This window comes from Homo sapiens, chromosome 13 (genome assembly GCF_000001405.40).
Source record: "Homo sapiens chromosome 13, GRCh38.p14 Primary Assembly".
In the NCBI taxonomy this organism is placed as follows: domain Eukaryota; kingdom Metazoa; phylum Chordata; class Mammalia; order Primates; family Hominidae; genus Homo; species Homo sapiens.
The window spans coordinates 22423453-22437884 of NC_000013.11; the positions used below are offsets into that span (position 1 = coordinate 22423453).

Genomic DNA, 14432 nt, shown 5'->3' on the forward strand with positions numbered 1-14432 from the left:
TTCAAACTGAACAATTTCAACACACATGGGGCCAATCTAGCCAACATTTCTGCCTCAAGGTTTTTTGACACTGTCAGTTCTATTGACCTTCAGCATACTTCAACTTCCTACTCTGACTCAATACCACAAAAAATTTAAACTCTCCCATCACTACTGCTCATCCTCCTATCTTTCTCATATTTTAAGGTTCACCATACCTGCTCCCTGTTACTTGGAGTCCTTCAGTTCCTTGATTCCTCAATTACCCCTGCTCTGTTAGTCTATGAGTATACACCGAGCCTCATTCACTTTCTTCCTTCTAGACTGAGTACAGCTGGTGGTTGGATGCTTTCTCATTGAACTCTCTTGCATTCTTGCCATTTCATTGTATCCCATTCAGGAACATTCATCCAGGGAACTGAGGCCTGACGACACGAACAATTCCCAAGCTCCCCTTTCTCTGAAGCGAAGGTAGTTACAGCTGCATCCATTATTATCTCATTTAGCCCTTGTCATCTCAAGACCAAGCTCTCCTCCTCTTGACCCTTTTCTCCCTGGTTTCTTTTAGGATCTTGTTCCATCAATAAGGCATCTTTTCTACTATATGGTTAATGTTTTCTCCTGCCTCTTTTTTTTAATCTATTCTTATTTTCAGTCAATGATGCCATTATTTCCAGAGTCACTCAAGTTAGAAATTGGGAGCAATTTTGCCTGTTTTTATCTTTCATGCCCATATGTACTTAATAATAGTAGTAGTAATTATATTCAGTCACAGAGTGACTACAACATGCCAGCCACTGTTCTAAGTGTTCTATATATGTTAATTCATTTAATTCTCAAAATTATTCTATGAGCCAGATATGACTTTTATTACCATTTCACAGATAAAGACATTGAGGCACAAAGAAGCTGAGAAGCTTTCCCAGGAACACCATGCTGATAAGTGGTGAAGCAGAGATGAAGCACCAAATGCTGGTTGTAACTCCTGACCGTAATACGAATTTTACCACTACAGTCCTGTTGCCCAGCTCCAGGCCCTTACAACTCTTATCTCCATTGCAATAGCCCCCCAAATGGCCTCTCTGGCTCTGGGCTTGTGCTCCTCAGAGTCCCACTCTGTAACATTTCCCCCATAGATTGCCTTAGCAAAAAAATCTTAATTTGACTTCACTGCTTAATAACCATGAGTGAATGAAGTAAAAATCAAGACTGTTTTGTTGGAATTCATTCTGAAACTGTTTGTTTTTTAAAGATTTTACATTAATGACTTACCAATTTTGAATGGGGCTGAAGAAGGGAATGAAGTAGTTACATCTCATACTGAGACTAATGGGTTCAAATCCTGATTCTAGCACTCACTAGCTATTGGATATGGGGCAAGTTACTTAACTCCTCTGTGTATCAGTTCCCCATCTTTAACGCGAAGTCATAATAATATTTACATCATAGGGTGGTTGTGAGAAATAAATTAAATTAATTGATATATGTAAACTGTTTTTAAGTGTGCCTGGTATAGAATAAATTGCTATATCAGTGTTAGCTATTATTACCAACATGTGGAAGCTAGGCAAGCTGGTTGGAGAACAGGATTAGAATTCAAAATAGTCTTGATAAACTGTCATACTTTTCATCAGGAGACAATAATAGTGTGCCTGCCAGAATTCATTATAGTACATATCTGTGATGAGCTGCATAACATTGCTTTGTGATGGAGATCTTGCACTTGGGTTCTGAATCATGCTGAAGCTGTCTTTTGGTATTTGAAGTTGCCCTCCTTGATTTGGAAGCCGAAATAAAGGCCATTGCCAAAGTAATTCCATATAGACATGTATCCTCTTCCAAACACGTGTAAAGTTTCTTTTAGACAAGAGTAAGGACTGTAATCCACATGACATAATTTTCAAGATACTATATTAACACCCCAGAAAGCCAAGAAATCAATCTCCCTGCCACTACAGCCCTCTAGGAAACATCTGTTGGACTATTTGCCATGAGAAAGAATAAAAGAAGGCCTGGTCGCCCCGGCTTAGTGGGGGAATCAATCCAGGAGGGTTGATGGAGGTGGCCTGCTGGCTTGGGAATGGTACCTCACTCCGGGTTTTTGAAAGCATAGAAGTATCGTAAAAGATGGTACAGACAATGGTGGTGGTTCATGTTGGCTTGTTCTCCACATCATTCAACTACTGGGAATAGTTATTGTTCAAAACCTGTCTGTTGCTCAAATGCCTATTCCACCTTCTTTGGGCTCTAAAAGAGCCAGTCCCACTGAACATGTGGTTTGTACAAAATTTGTACAAATGTTTAGAGTCCAGTAATTTATATTCTGGTTAAAACTGGCCATATTTGGCAGTCAGATATATGAAGCAATGCTAGATTTTGAAGTGCATGATAAAGAAAGAAAACTAAAGTTGAATTCCACCTGACCTTAGAAATAAGTAAGTACCTTACAAAAAGAGGAGGAGGGTATGGGAACTAAAAGAGACAGCTTGACAGCAGACAGAAAACGATTTAACACCCAGACAGGGTAGAAAATTGAGATCCACAACTATGGCCAAAAGATACAACCCGAACGAACTGCTCCGAAATGAGAGCTAAAGGACACGAGCATTACACAGACTTTTCCCATCACAAGATGTAAGCTAATCTACTTTGCTAAAAACAAACACATTTCACCCTTGAGAGTGTATTAAGAGCTCTGAAAAGAGTCTGAGATTTTATTTGTAAGACACATTTCATCAGATATTCAGCATTTTCACTGTAGAGTTCCTAGCCTCTGGTGTTCTTTACTTTCTGATTCCTGTGAGTTAATGAGAACCACGTTCACTCAAGGAGCAAGTCACAGCCTAACATTTTCCTAACCCTTCTGTTTCCCAACAAGCAAAAAAGCTTTTATGTCATTTTTTTTTCTAAATAAAGGTTTCAAAGAATTTAACAACAAACTGCCCACACATATTTTTATAAATAAAGCAATGGTCCAAACAAGTTAGAAAGTGCTATATCAATTTCCCTTTCTGGGGTGGTAGCGGTAACTATTGCACCTGTTTTTCTCTAATAGTACCATTGTATTTTCAACTTGACAACATTGAAGAATATCTTAGAATTTGAAGAAAACGTCAACAAACGTTTGTTGAGCACGGGTACAGCCAGTGCTACTAATCATGTAGCATAGCATAGCTATACCATGTTTAGTGTTCCTGCAGATATCGCAGATCATTCTGTGTCTGTTTAAAGGAATTGTGTGTTAAAATATTGCTTTAAATGACCTCACAGTGAATATATTTTCGTCTGTGCTCCACAGTCAGAAAGTACATAGCAATTAAAATAATGGTTAACTGCAAACTCACCATGTTGATGATTTGCCATATACTGACAGAGGTACTAAAAATATTCTGAGGAAGACAATCCGATTATTTGATAGGCCTGTGGTTAAAAAGATGATAAATGCTGGGAGTAGGGAATTAGTGGAAAAACGAGTCATGTTAATCTGAGTGGTGTTTGAAATGAAATAATACATATGCCATTTTAAACTGAAGGTCATTGACTTACCACCTCATGCTTCACTTATAAGGCCTGTTACAGAAACAGTCTTAAAAGATAGCTCAAATTGAATGTGGAATCTGGAAGTTGTCTTTTTCTCTTATTTTTAATTCATTCCACCTTATCAAATATTGTCCTTTCTAGAAATCCTTTCTTTTGGTGCCTGAGCTCATCGCCGCCTTCTGCATGCCTCCTTCAGCTGTCTGGTGTAAGCCCTCATCCTTGCCTGCCCAGACACAGGCAGTGGCTTTTACCCTGCTCAGTCACCCTCCAAAGCCATAACCCAGACCCACCCGAAACATTTCTATGACCACATCATTCTCTTGCTCAAAGTCTTCAGCTGTTTTCTAAAACCTGATGATCTAATCTAAGCTGAACCCAAAGCACAGGCATCTCCCCAAAACTGGAGTTAAGACTGATATATGGGAGAAAGGATAATGGATATTTAAAAAGTTGGGGCTCAAAGGGTTGACACATTGAAGTGTTTAGTACACAACTAAGGCATCTCACTCAATTTGATAGGCAGCAGACATCTATCAGTTGGTGGTTTGTTTTTTTTTTAGATCAATAGTATACTTTAGAAAAATTAATCTTGCTGTGGTGTTTAGCATAAATTGAAAGGAAAATTGACTAAACTACTGCAGTGATTTTAGGGAATAGATAGTGAGGCTCTGAGTAAGGATGATGGCAATGAAAATGGAAAAGAGAGAGGTATGAGTGGAGATGTCATAATTTGTCATTGATGGTAGGGAAAGAATCAGGAAACAATGAGAAATATAGTCAAGCATTTGCAATAATTGCTCGGAGAAATCTTTTATTGCTTAGTTTTACCATCAAAGATTTAAAAATAAGTTTCTGTTCAATCCTTCCTGGAAGAAAGTGATTGTGAGTTTGATTTTCCAAAAGGGTCAAGTAGAGCAAAAATTGGTGTTCAGCGATATGCCAGCCATAGCCAGAGAGCTCATGGATGCTTTGGCCATGAACTCCTGGCTTCAGCTTCTGTCCTGTGGCCTCTGCAACTTTCCTGAACAAGTACCAGTCACAGCACGAGAAAGACTTTACTTACTGTCTACAAAGGTCACACCCATCAAAACATTAAAACAGTAGTTTTAAGCAAGAAAAGGCACCATCAGAGAATTGCCGTGCATTGGCGATAGTGGGTGAGGGGTCTTTCCCGTTACAGTAGGCACCAGCGTTCAGAACAGACTGGCTTCTGCAATCTCAAAACCCCTCATCTCGGGGAGGACGTTGTAGGTCACCTTATCAGCTGTGCAGCACTGGGCTATAATTGCATCATCGCCACAAGATAATCTCCCAGGCTACTATCCTAGTCCACATTCTACCAGAGTGATAAACAGCATAAATAAATACCACAGCCATTTACTTAGTTTGCTGTTTTTAAGGGTTTTCAGCTGGGAGAGGACCACATGGCCTCTGTACAGCTGTTTATGGGTTCTTTCTAACTGGATGTGAAGCACTGAGTTCTAGAATTCTTGGAAGACTGCCTTTTCCTCTAAGCCTGACTAAGGTCAAGTCCACCTACAACTTCATATAAACGTCTTTGGGCCACGTTTACAGGAAAAGACCATCCACTGGTTGGACCGAACGACTGAAACTTTTGAACTGTTTCCACACATAGCAGAATGTGGTTTGCTGGGATTCGCCCACTTAGCAGCCAGTCACTAAGGCATTCGTTGGAAATGAGTAAGTTGGGAGGCAGGAAAGACTGGCAGATTTTTTCTTTCTATCTCCCTCTTCCCTTTTAGACTCAAAGAAACGGTATGCATGTGGACAGAGGTGCCAAGCCCTATGGCACTTGTGGTGAAGGAGGCCATTCTTTGAAACACTTAAAGGCCAAAGTGCTCCTTTTAGAGGAAAATACTTCTAGCACTATACTGTGGCCTTTAACTTAATTAGTCAATTAAAGCAAGAAAGTCTCTCAAAAGAATCATGCAAATAAAAGGATGTTGCTTCCAGGGAAAGAAAAGTCTTTTGCAATGCTGAGACCAGAGGTGTCAGTCTAAATATTTTCCAAAGGGTATTATTGTTATGTGCTTTAAAAAATTCATTCTAGGTTCTCAGTGGGCTCCTATCCTGGGATCTGCAGGTACCTGCATTACAGACTTAGGAGATGAGCCCTCAAAAAACTCTTGCTATTGCAAGTAAAAATGTCAATTTATATTATTCCCATTTCAAAACTTAATTTTTGGTTAGGTTAAATAAGCAACACAGTTAACAGTATCATCTAGAGATTTTTGTTGTCGTTGTTAGGACAACATGAAATTTTAAATATTGAAATATATGGTATTTTACTTTAAGTTCTCGGATACATGTTCAGGATGTGCAGGTTTGTTACATAGGTAAACGTGTGCCAGAGTTTTTTGCTGCACCTGTCAACAAGTCACCTAGGTATTAAGCCCAGCATGCATTGGCTATTTATCCTGATGCTGTTCCTCCCCCCACCCCCAATACCCCCACCAGCCCCCAGTGTGTGTTGTTCCCCTCCCTGTATCCATACGTTCTCATTGTTCAGCTCCCACTTATAAGCGAGAGCATACGGTATTTGGTTTTCTGTTGCCATATTAGTTTGCTGAGGATAATGGCTTCCAGCTCCATCCGTATCCCTGCAAAGGACATAATCTTCTTCCTTTTTATGGCTGCATAGTATTCCATGGTGTATATGTACCACATTTTCTTTATTCAGTCTATCATTGATGGGCATTTGGGTTGATTCCATGTCTTTGCTATTGTGAATAGTGCTGTAACAAACACACATGTCTTTATAATAGAATGATTTCTATTCCCTTGGGTATGTGCCCAGTAATGGGATTGCTGGGTCAAATGGCATTTCTGGCTCTAGGTCTTTGAGGAATCACCACACTGTCTTCCACAATGGTTGAACAAATTTACATTCCCACCAGCAGTGTGAAAGCATTCCTGTTTCTCCACAGCCTTGCCAGCATCTATTGTTTCTTGACTTTTTAATAATAGCTATTCTGACTGGCATGAGGTGGTATCTCATTGTGGTTTTGATTTGCATTTCTCTAATGATTGGTGATGTTGAGCTTTTGTTCATGTTTGTTGGCCGCATAAATGTCTTCTTTTGAGAAGTGTCTCCATGTCCTTTGCCCGCTTTTTAATGAGGTTTTTTTAAAAACTAATATCTTTGCCTTTTTAATGGCACTTATCAAATGTGGGGATTCCATAGTACTTCTAATCAGTTATAAAATTCCTCTACTCTGTTGGATTTAGGCACTAACTTTAAACACATGAAGTCCTAAAACACATCTTTAATTGAGAACGTTTTTCCAATAATTACACATACTTCTATATTCTAGCTTTTATTCTCACATAGAACTCATATTGTAGTGGGGGAAGATAGTAAAATACTCAGATACATAACATGTCAGTGTTTAGTGCTTTCAAAAAATAGAAAGGACAGGAGAATGTGAGAGAAGAGGGAAACTTGTGATGATATCTAACAATGATTGATATATCATATAATAAAAAGGTAAAAAATTAATTAATAAAACATGTCAGGCTATCACCTGAATTATTCAGGCTCTTAAGAACCTGCTACTGGCAAAAACAAAAGACAATTTATCTTCCAGTTTGGTTTTCTTCATTGATTTAATTCATAAAATGATTAATTAAACTTTTCATTTCGTTTGATCTCATGTGACCTCATGACTTTGATTTCTTCAGCCAAACTTAAGAGTGGTGACAAAATCTCATTTGGAAAGCATTTGGAGAAAATTGTTATTCTCATATGGAAGGTGTTTTAATGTCAGTTGAGCAAATACTTCTTCCCTTCTAAGTTTCATTTACTCATTGGGTCTTTCAGATCTATTTGATGCATTTACCATTGCAGTTTCCCATCATAAATTTTTCTTTCAGTACTTATATTTATTCACAATATACGACAACCAAGCCATTTTGTATTTAAATGATGTTGAAGACTGCCAGGCATTTTTTCAGATATTTGGAAATAAAATATAGTTTTTTGTGATACCCTTCTCTCTCACTGAGTATATAGTCACCAGACTTTTTTGGGGGTAATTTCAGTGGAATATTTCTCTCTTTTCTTATTAGCTCAATAGATGATATTACAGAAAAGCTAATTTCCAAGGAGTTGACTAAAATATGTAACTTTTTTTTACAGAAATAGAATAATTTTGGTTAGAAATAGTAAATGTTCTCACATGTTAAATGTTATTAACTACTCTTCAATACTGAATTTCTGAAAAATAATTTCCAGATAAGTCAAAAAGTACAATACACTGCTACCTCTGTGTTCAGTACTTCATAGACATTCTAAGTCTTGCATTTGCTTTTGTGATAATGATTCGTCAATGTCCAAATTTTTTTAATTCAAAAAATTATTTACCTACCACATGACCTCATAAATATTTTGTAGGAAGGATGTTCTAATCTACTTCTGCACTCTGATTTTGCAGAATCTCTTTCTATGCATTTTCTGTGTTTATTTTTAAAAGTACATTTTATGAGTTTTTCCTCATCATAAGATAAATTCATGCTTATTGCAGAAAACTTGAAGAAATTATTCAAAATGTTACTCTGCAAGAAAAAAACTTAGGGGATGTATTCTTTAATCTTTTGCATAAATGTTTGCATTTAGGGTTTGAAATTTTAAAGTCTTGCAAATTTTCCTGTGTCATTAAGTCTATACGAATTTAAATAGCAGTCAGCAACGAACACTCCAAAGGGGATAGTTTACAGGGTGTTTTATATTCATTGTGTTTAGTTAGTAGAACTCTGTTATCATCCAATAATTCATAGCCTGTCTGATTTCTTATTCTCTTTTTTATTCTTCATCAATCTTGCCATAAACTTGACTTGTTTTAGCTGTTATAATAAACATTTATTGGTATTTAATCATTAAATTTCATTGATTTTACCACATCTTTATTATTTTCTTTTTACTTATTTTATTTTTTCCCTTTATTTCTTTTTTTCCAAACCATGAGGATGCTGAAACAAATAAAACAAAAATCTCCTGTGTATTAATTTGCTAAGGCTACCATAAAAAAGTGCCAATGACTGGGTGGCTTAAAAGAGAGAAATGTATTACCTCCCAGTTCTCAAGTCTGAGATCAGGATGTCAGCCTCTTGGTTCTTTCTGAAGATTGAAAGGAAAGGACTGTTCCAGGCCTGTTTCCTTGGCTAGTAGATGGCCATCTTCTCCCTGAGTCTTCACATCATCTTCCCTCCGTGTGTGTCTATATTGAGCAGTTCCATTCTGAGATACTGAGGAATAGGACTTCAACATACGAATTTCTGCAGGGAACACAATTCTCTCTGTAACACCCCATCATAGAAGCATTTACAAGCTAGTGGGGAGAGGCCTTTGATAAATAAGGACACCAGATAACAATAAGTGACATAACAAAACATAAAAGCAGAGGAATAGTGAGGGCCAGGGCAAAGGAAGTGAACTGGTGCATAACGCTTTGGCAGTGGGTTAGATATTTCTCTAATGTACAGAAATGTAAGTAACCAAAGTCAGGGCCACACTGGATGGGCAGTGTTGCCAATAGATTGTATAGTTTGTGCTTTGTGGGATGGCAATAACTGACCTTTTTGCGAAGACTTGTCTTTTTATTTGGTGCAGTGGGGGCAGTTTGGAGGGCCCTTCTTTGTGTAAAATTAAGGCACTAAGTCTACTCATGAAGGGAGAGGCTGAGACAAAATAATGGTAAATTACACAAGCAGGAGGCCATTGGCCTGAGGCTGTCTTTGCACTTTGAGTGCCTACATTACAAACTACAACCTAACTTAGTAGATACACAAACTAACAACCTAACTCAGGAGTATAACAAACAGCCAAGTCTTGGCCAATCATGAGCAGCCAAGCTTCAGCCAATCACAGGCAGCCAACTAATCAGACCATTTCCAAATAAGGCAAATGCATGGCTGTAACCACTCAAGTTATTTTTGTACTTTACTTCCTTACTCTGTCTGTAAATACTCTGAATGTAAATAGATCACTGTTGCAGATGGGAGTTCTCTGAACCTCTTCTGGCTCTGAGTGCTACCTGGTTCATGACTTATTCTTTGCTCAAGTAAGCTTTGTTTAATTTAATTTGTCTAAAGTTTTTCAACAATGGCTATACTGCTTTTTTAAAAAAATAATATTATAAAAGGCTATTTTGAAGGTCAGTAAAGCACTGGCTCCAGATAAATTATGATAATGTTATATAATTTATTTTATGTATATATATATAATGGGGCCAGTAGAAGGAAGTTGAGGCTATGAGACTCTGGGGAGAAATGAGAGAGAGGACTCAGGTTAGAAGAAGAATAGTCCCAACACTTCTGACCTAATGAGGGAGTAGCCTATGGGGGAATTACCTGGGAATTGGTCTTTTATTGGATTTTGGAAAAAGTGACACCTGAAAAAGAATTTTTTCTTCTTCTCTGAATTGTGCTTTTCACACAGTATTCCCAGGTTTTCAGAAGATCTTTCGAGAACTGTTGCAGTCTGGCCTCATTTTTTTGTGACAGTGGCTCTGTGCCTTCTTAAACCCACGTTTTAGGGGCCTCATTGACTCAAGAGAGACAAAGCCCTGAGAATGCAGTACGCCCTGGAGGACCTTGACCAACAGCAAAGGTCAGCATGGCTCCTGGGCAAGCTTTGTAGATCTCTTGCAAAGAGGAGGGGAGTTCTGAATACTAAAAGAAAGGAACCCTTATTGACTAATTCACCAGGATGAAAGTGTTGGAGTATTTTTAATGTGGTAATAGATTGATCATGGAACATGTGAAGTCTTGAAGACACACGATCGTGCTCTGGAAAGATATGGAACAAACCATTTCCTTGGCATTAGATTTCCCCATAACAGATTGACCTACCAAAAAATACCTCTATGGAATAGCAAAATGACACCCCCAGTATTTTCACAAACATTGTTTTTTTTCTCTTATTAGTAAGTTTAAGCATATCTGTCCCATACCAGTAAGTGCTTATACAAATTTGTTAATAAATGAATACATATTCGCATTAAATATATGGTTGTAAAAGTCATGAGGAGTCATACTTAAAATGTATATGCAATTTTAAAAATATATTTTTAAGATACTGAGGAGCCGATGGATTTGTTAAAAACTATGAGGTTCGTAATTTAAGTGAATGCAAAGCCCCAAAGAAACAAGCTGAGTGCTTAAACAGCCTTAACCCGAGAGCATTTGCTAATATAGCTGAGCCTACGTTTTTGTTTTGAAGGTCTCTTGGGGCAAAGGGAATGAGTCTAAACCAAGAGCCTACCATCATGTTCAATCTAAATAGGAAAAGTGGCTCCTCTGAAGGAAGGATTTCCCCAAAGCCAGAGCTTCAGGGAAAATGGGAACTCAAAGTAAATGCACCCCAAGTGCCCACGCCTCGGAGGCTGCCCAGAGGCTGCCTTGCTGCCAGAGTTAAAGAACACTCTGCAGGACTTGTAACCCAGGCTGCCCTTTCACATGCCTGGAGAGTCCAAGTATACTCAACCTTAACTTCAATTTTAAGACATTTTAGGCATTTTCTAAATGCCTTTTAAAATCAAAAGTAAAACTCATCTGTAGGAGTGTACCTTTGTTCAAGGTCTTAAATAAATTCCACAGATTTCCTGGAAAAATATGCAGAAGAGTCAACAATAAACACGCAAGAATACAAGGCAATATAAGAGAAATTTTTTTTGAAAAAAATAGAACAAAGACTTTATATGTTAAAATTATTAGGCAGATTGTAAATCAACTATACTTCTATATTTTAAAGAGCGCTAGGCTTTAAGGGTTTAAAGAAACTTCAAGGAAACAGAAAGCTGTATAAAGCAATGTAACAGATTTGAAAAGGAGCCAAATGGAACTTTTAGAAATAAAAAGACTAAAGATGCAAAATGCCGAAGAGAATAAACAGAAAGAGTAGTAAGCACATGGGGGAATCTGAACAATAACTGACTATAAAACTGCAAAAATCATCATATCCCAAATTGTTTTAGAAGAGATAGAAACTATGACAGCCAAAATAACATATAAACCGGGGGGATGCATGGAGGTATATTGTTTTAAGGTTCTTGTTGTTATCTAGTTGGAGATTAAAAGTATTAATTAATTTTAGATTTTGACAAGTCAGTATATTGCTAAGGTTAACAAGTAATAGGAAAGGAAATAACTTCCAAATTAAGAAAGAGAAAGCACAAAAGGATACAAATTAATCAAAAAAGTTAAGAATAGAGAGAAAGCATAAAAAATAGGAAGTTGATACAAAAATACAAGACATAATAATATATTTAAACATTTTATTAAATGCAATATGGCAATTACATTAAATATAAAGGAACAGAGTACTATAATGCAAATATTTCCAGACTAGACTTTTAAAAATTTAGTTATATACTGTTATAGAAGACATATCTAAAATATGTATAAAAGATACACCACATAAATACCAACTACAGTTTTATAGACTATCAATAGTCCTTATATGAGTAGACTATCACATATACATTGATTTGCTGCTGCAATGACAATATACATTGATATAAGCTACATTGATATTAGAAAATTAGACTTCAGAGGGAAAGACATTCCTTGAGATGAAGAACAGAACTGTATGCCCACTTGCTGAAAGATAACATCATTTATACTGCATGTCACATTCCCTCAGAATACACATATAAAATCTCTCTTCTACAATGATGAAATTCACAAAGCTCTGAAAATTGAAAGACTTGCAAATTTGCTGCCAAAACCCGAGCTGAAATTATGTAATGTCATTTATAGTCTTTATTTATTTCATTTCATATGAATAGTGGTGGCTTTGCTGTAGAATATTAATGTGTTTCAACACAGGATGCTGCTCTGACCCTGCTCCACAAGTTACATAATTTGTGGTACATGCTCTGTATTTCAAAATTGTTTTTTCCCTTTTATTCACAATCATGATTATAGTGGCAGATTTTTAACTAATCTATTTGGGTAATTGATAGAGTCTTCAAAGAAAAATTACCATTAACGGGTTTGGCCAAGAGAGAAAGAAGAGAGAGACAGAGGGGGGAAAGGGAAGAGAGAGAGAGAGAGAGAGAGAGAGAGAGAGAGAGGGAGAGAGAAAGAGAACCACTGAAAGAAGAAACAAAGATAAACCCATGATCATAATGATGGCAAAAGATTTTTAACCTGTCCCCCTGAGTAATTGACAGAAACTTTAGAGAAAAACTGTGATTCACAAACTTGGTTGAGTATGTATAAATGGCATGTAAATGATATGGTGCGCAACTACTACAGAAAAAAATATTCTTTTAAATGAACATGGAACATTTTTTCAAAACTGAATATATAAATCGAGCTTCCACAAATTTTATAAGGCTGAAATCGTCATTTAATGGGTACAGCACACCAACATGGCACATGTATACATATGTAGCAAACCTGCATGTTGTGCACATGTACCCTAAAACTTAAAGTATAATTAAAAAAAAAGATTGAAATCATACCGAACATGTTTCAAAATGGAAATATAGGTTACAAAATGGCAAGAGAAAAAACTAATCATTAAAAAAGTAGGGATGGTGGCCCCTTCAGAGGGTAGATGGGATCCATGTTGAGAAAGGAACAGGGGAACTTTTGATGTACTGGTAGGAGAAAAGATAAAGCATGTCCTGCATCTCAGGATTTTCATATTAAAAAAGCCATAAAAGAAGCATTGGTGATATCATCAATGGTTAACAAAGGGTCAGTTGTTTGCTTGAATCAACGCTGTAATATTTTATGGTATACAACAATCACTTAGAAGCAACTTTTGATTATAAGATATCACTGTGTACAGTTGACTCAAAAAGCATTCATTTACACATTGCATTCACAGTCCTGCAGTAGATTCTTTCTTATATATGAAAGCACAAGTCATTTTTTTTTTTTTTTTTTTGAGACGGAGTCTCACTCTGTCGCCCAGGCTGGAGTGCAGTGGCGCGATCTCAGCTCACTGCAACCTCCACCTCCCAGGTTCATGCCATTCTCCTGCCTCAGCCTCCCGAGTAGCTGGGACTACAGGCGCCTGCCACCACGCCCGGCTATTTTTTTTTTTGTATTTTTAGTAGAGACGGGGTTTCACTGTGTTAGGCAGGATGGTCTCGATCTCCTGACCTCATGATCCGCCCGCCTCGGCCTCCGAAGTTCTGGGATTACAGGCATGAACAAGTCATTTCTTTAAGGAGCTTACACCTTATGAAGGAAAACACATCAGAAGATAATCTGAGCATGGAAAGCAAACATAAAAGCTGTTAAATATATAAAGCAGCCCCTACTGTTACTGGGAATAACAAGACAGAACTGATCATATGAACTAAACTAATGGAGACAAAATAGTTTAAGGAGAGCCAGAAGTCACACTGGACACTAAGAACAGGAGAATTTTTGCAGACAGAAAGGAAATGACAAAGGTAACATTGTGGGCAAAAATAACTTCTGAGCAAATGCAGGAAGTAGAAACCTAGAAGTCTTCTATGTGAAGAAATTCATGTTGGAAATAGTGGAGAAAGAAAATAAATAAATTGTTGAGTTGGTTTTTATGTGGGTTATGTATTTTTAAAAGGCTGGAAAACAATCTAGATTGATTTAGATGTTATACTATCTATCAAGAAAAGACTGGGTTTTTTTTTCAGCTATATAATTCTATATATATTGAGAGAAAAGTAAAAACAAACAAACAAACTACAACTAATAATTTTAACTCTTCTGATTTTTTGCTGCATAGGAAGAAGTGATATTAACTGAGACTTTTGCAGAGTTTTAGTTGTTTCTAGAACCAGGTAACAAATTAGAGAGGGTTAAGTATGTCTTCCAAAAGTTACCCATTGCATCATCATATCATTAGGTATGTCATTTTGCTAGTAACATTTTTTATTGTTAGTATTTATTAG

The 14432-nt window shown here is 37.0% G+C and overlaps 1 long non-coding RNA gene across 1 annotated transcript in view; it reads left to right on the forward strand.

The window, feature by feature from the left end:
• Nucleotides 1-4603: 4603 nt before the first annotated feature.
• LOC107984599 (uncharacterized) overlaps nt 4604-14432 on the forward strand; it is a 29408-nt gene continuing 19579 nt past the window's right edge. Inside the window, exon 1 of the long non-coding RNA XR_001749779.2 lies at nt 4604-5220. This is a non-coding gene — a long non-coding RNA (uncharacterized LOC107984599). The remainder of the gene's footprint in view (nt 5221-14432) is intronic.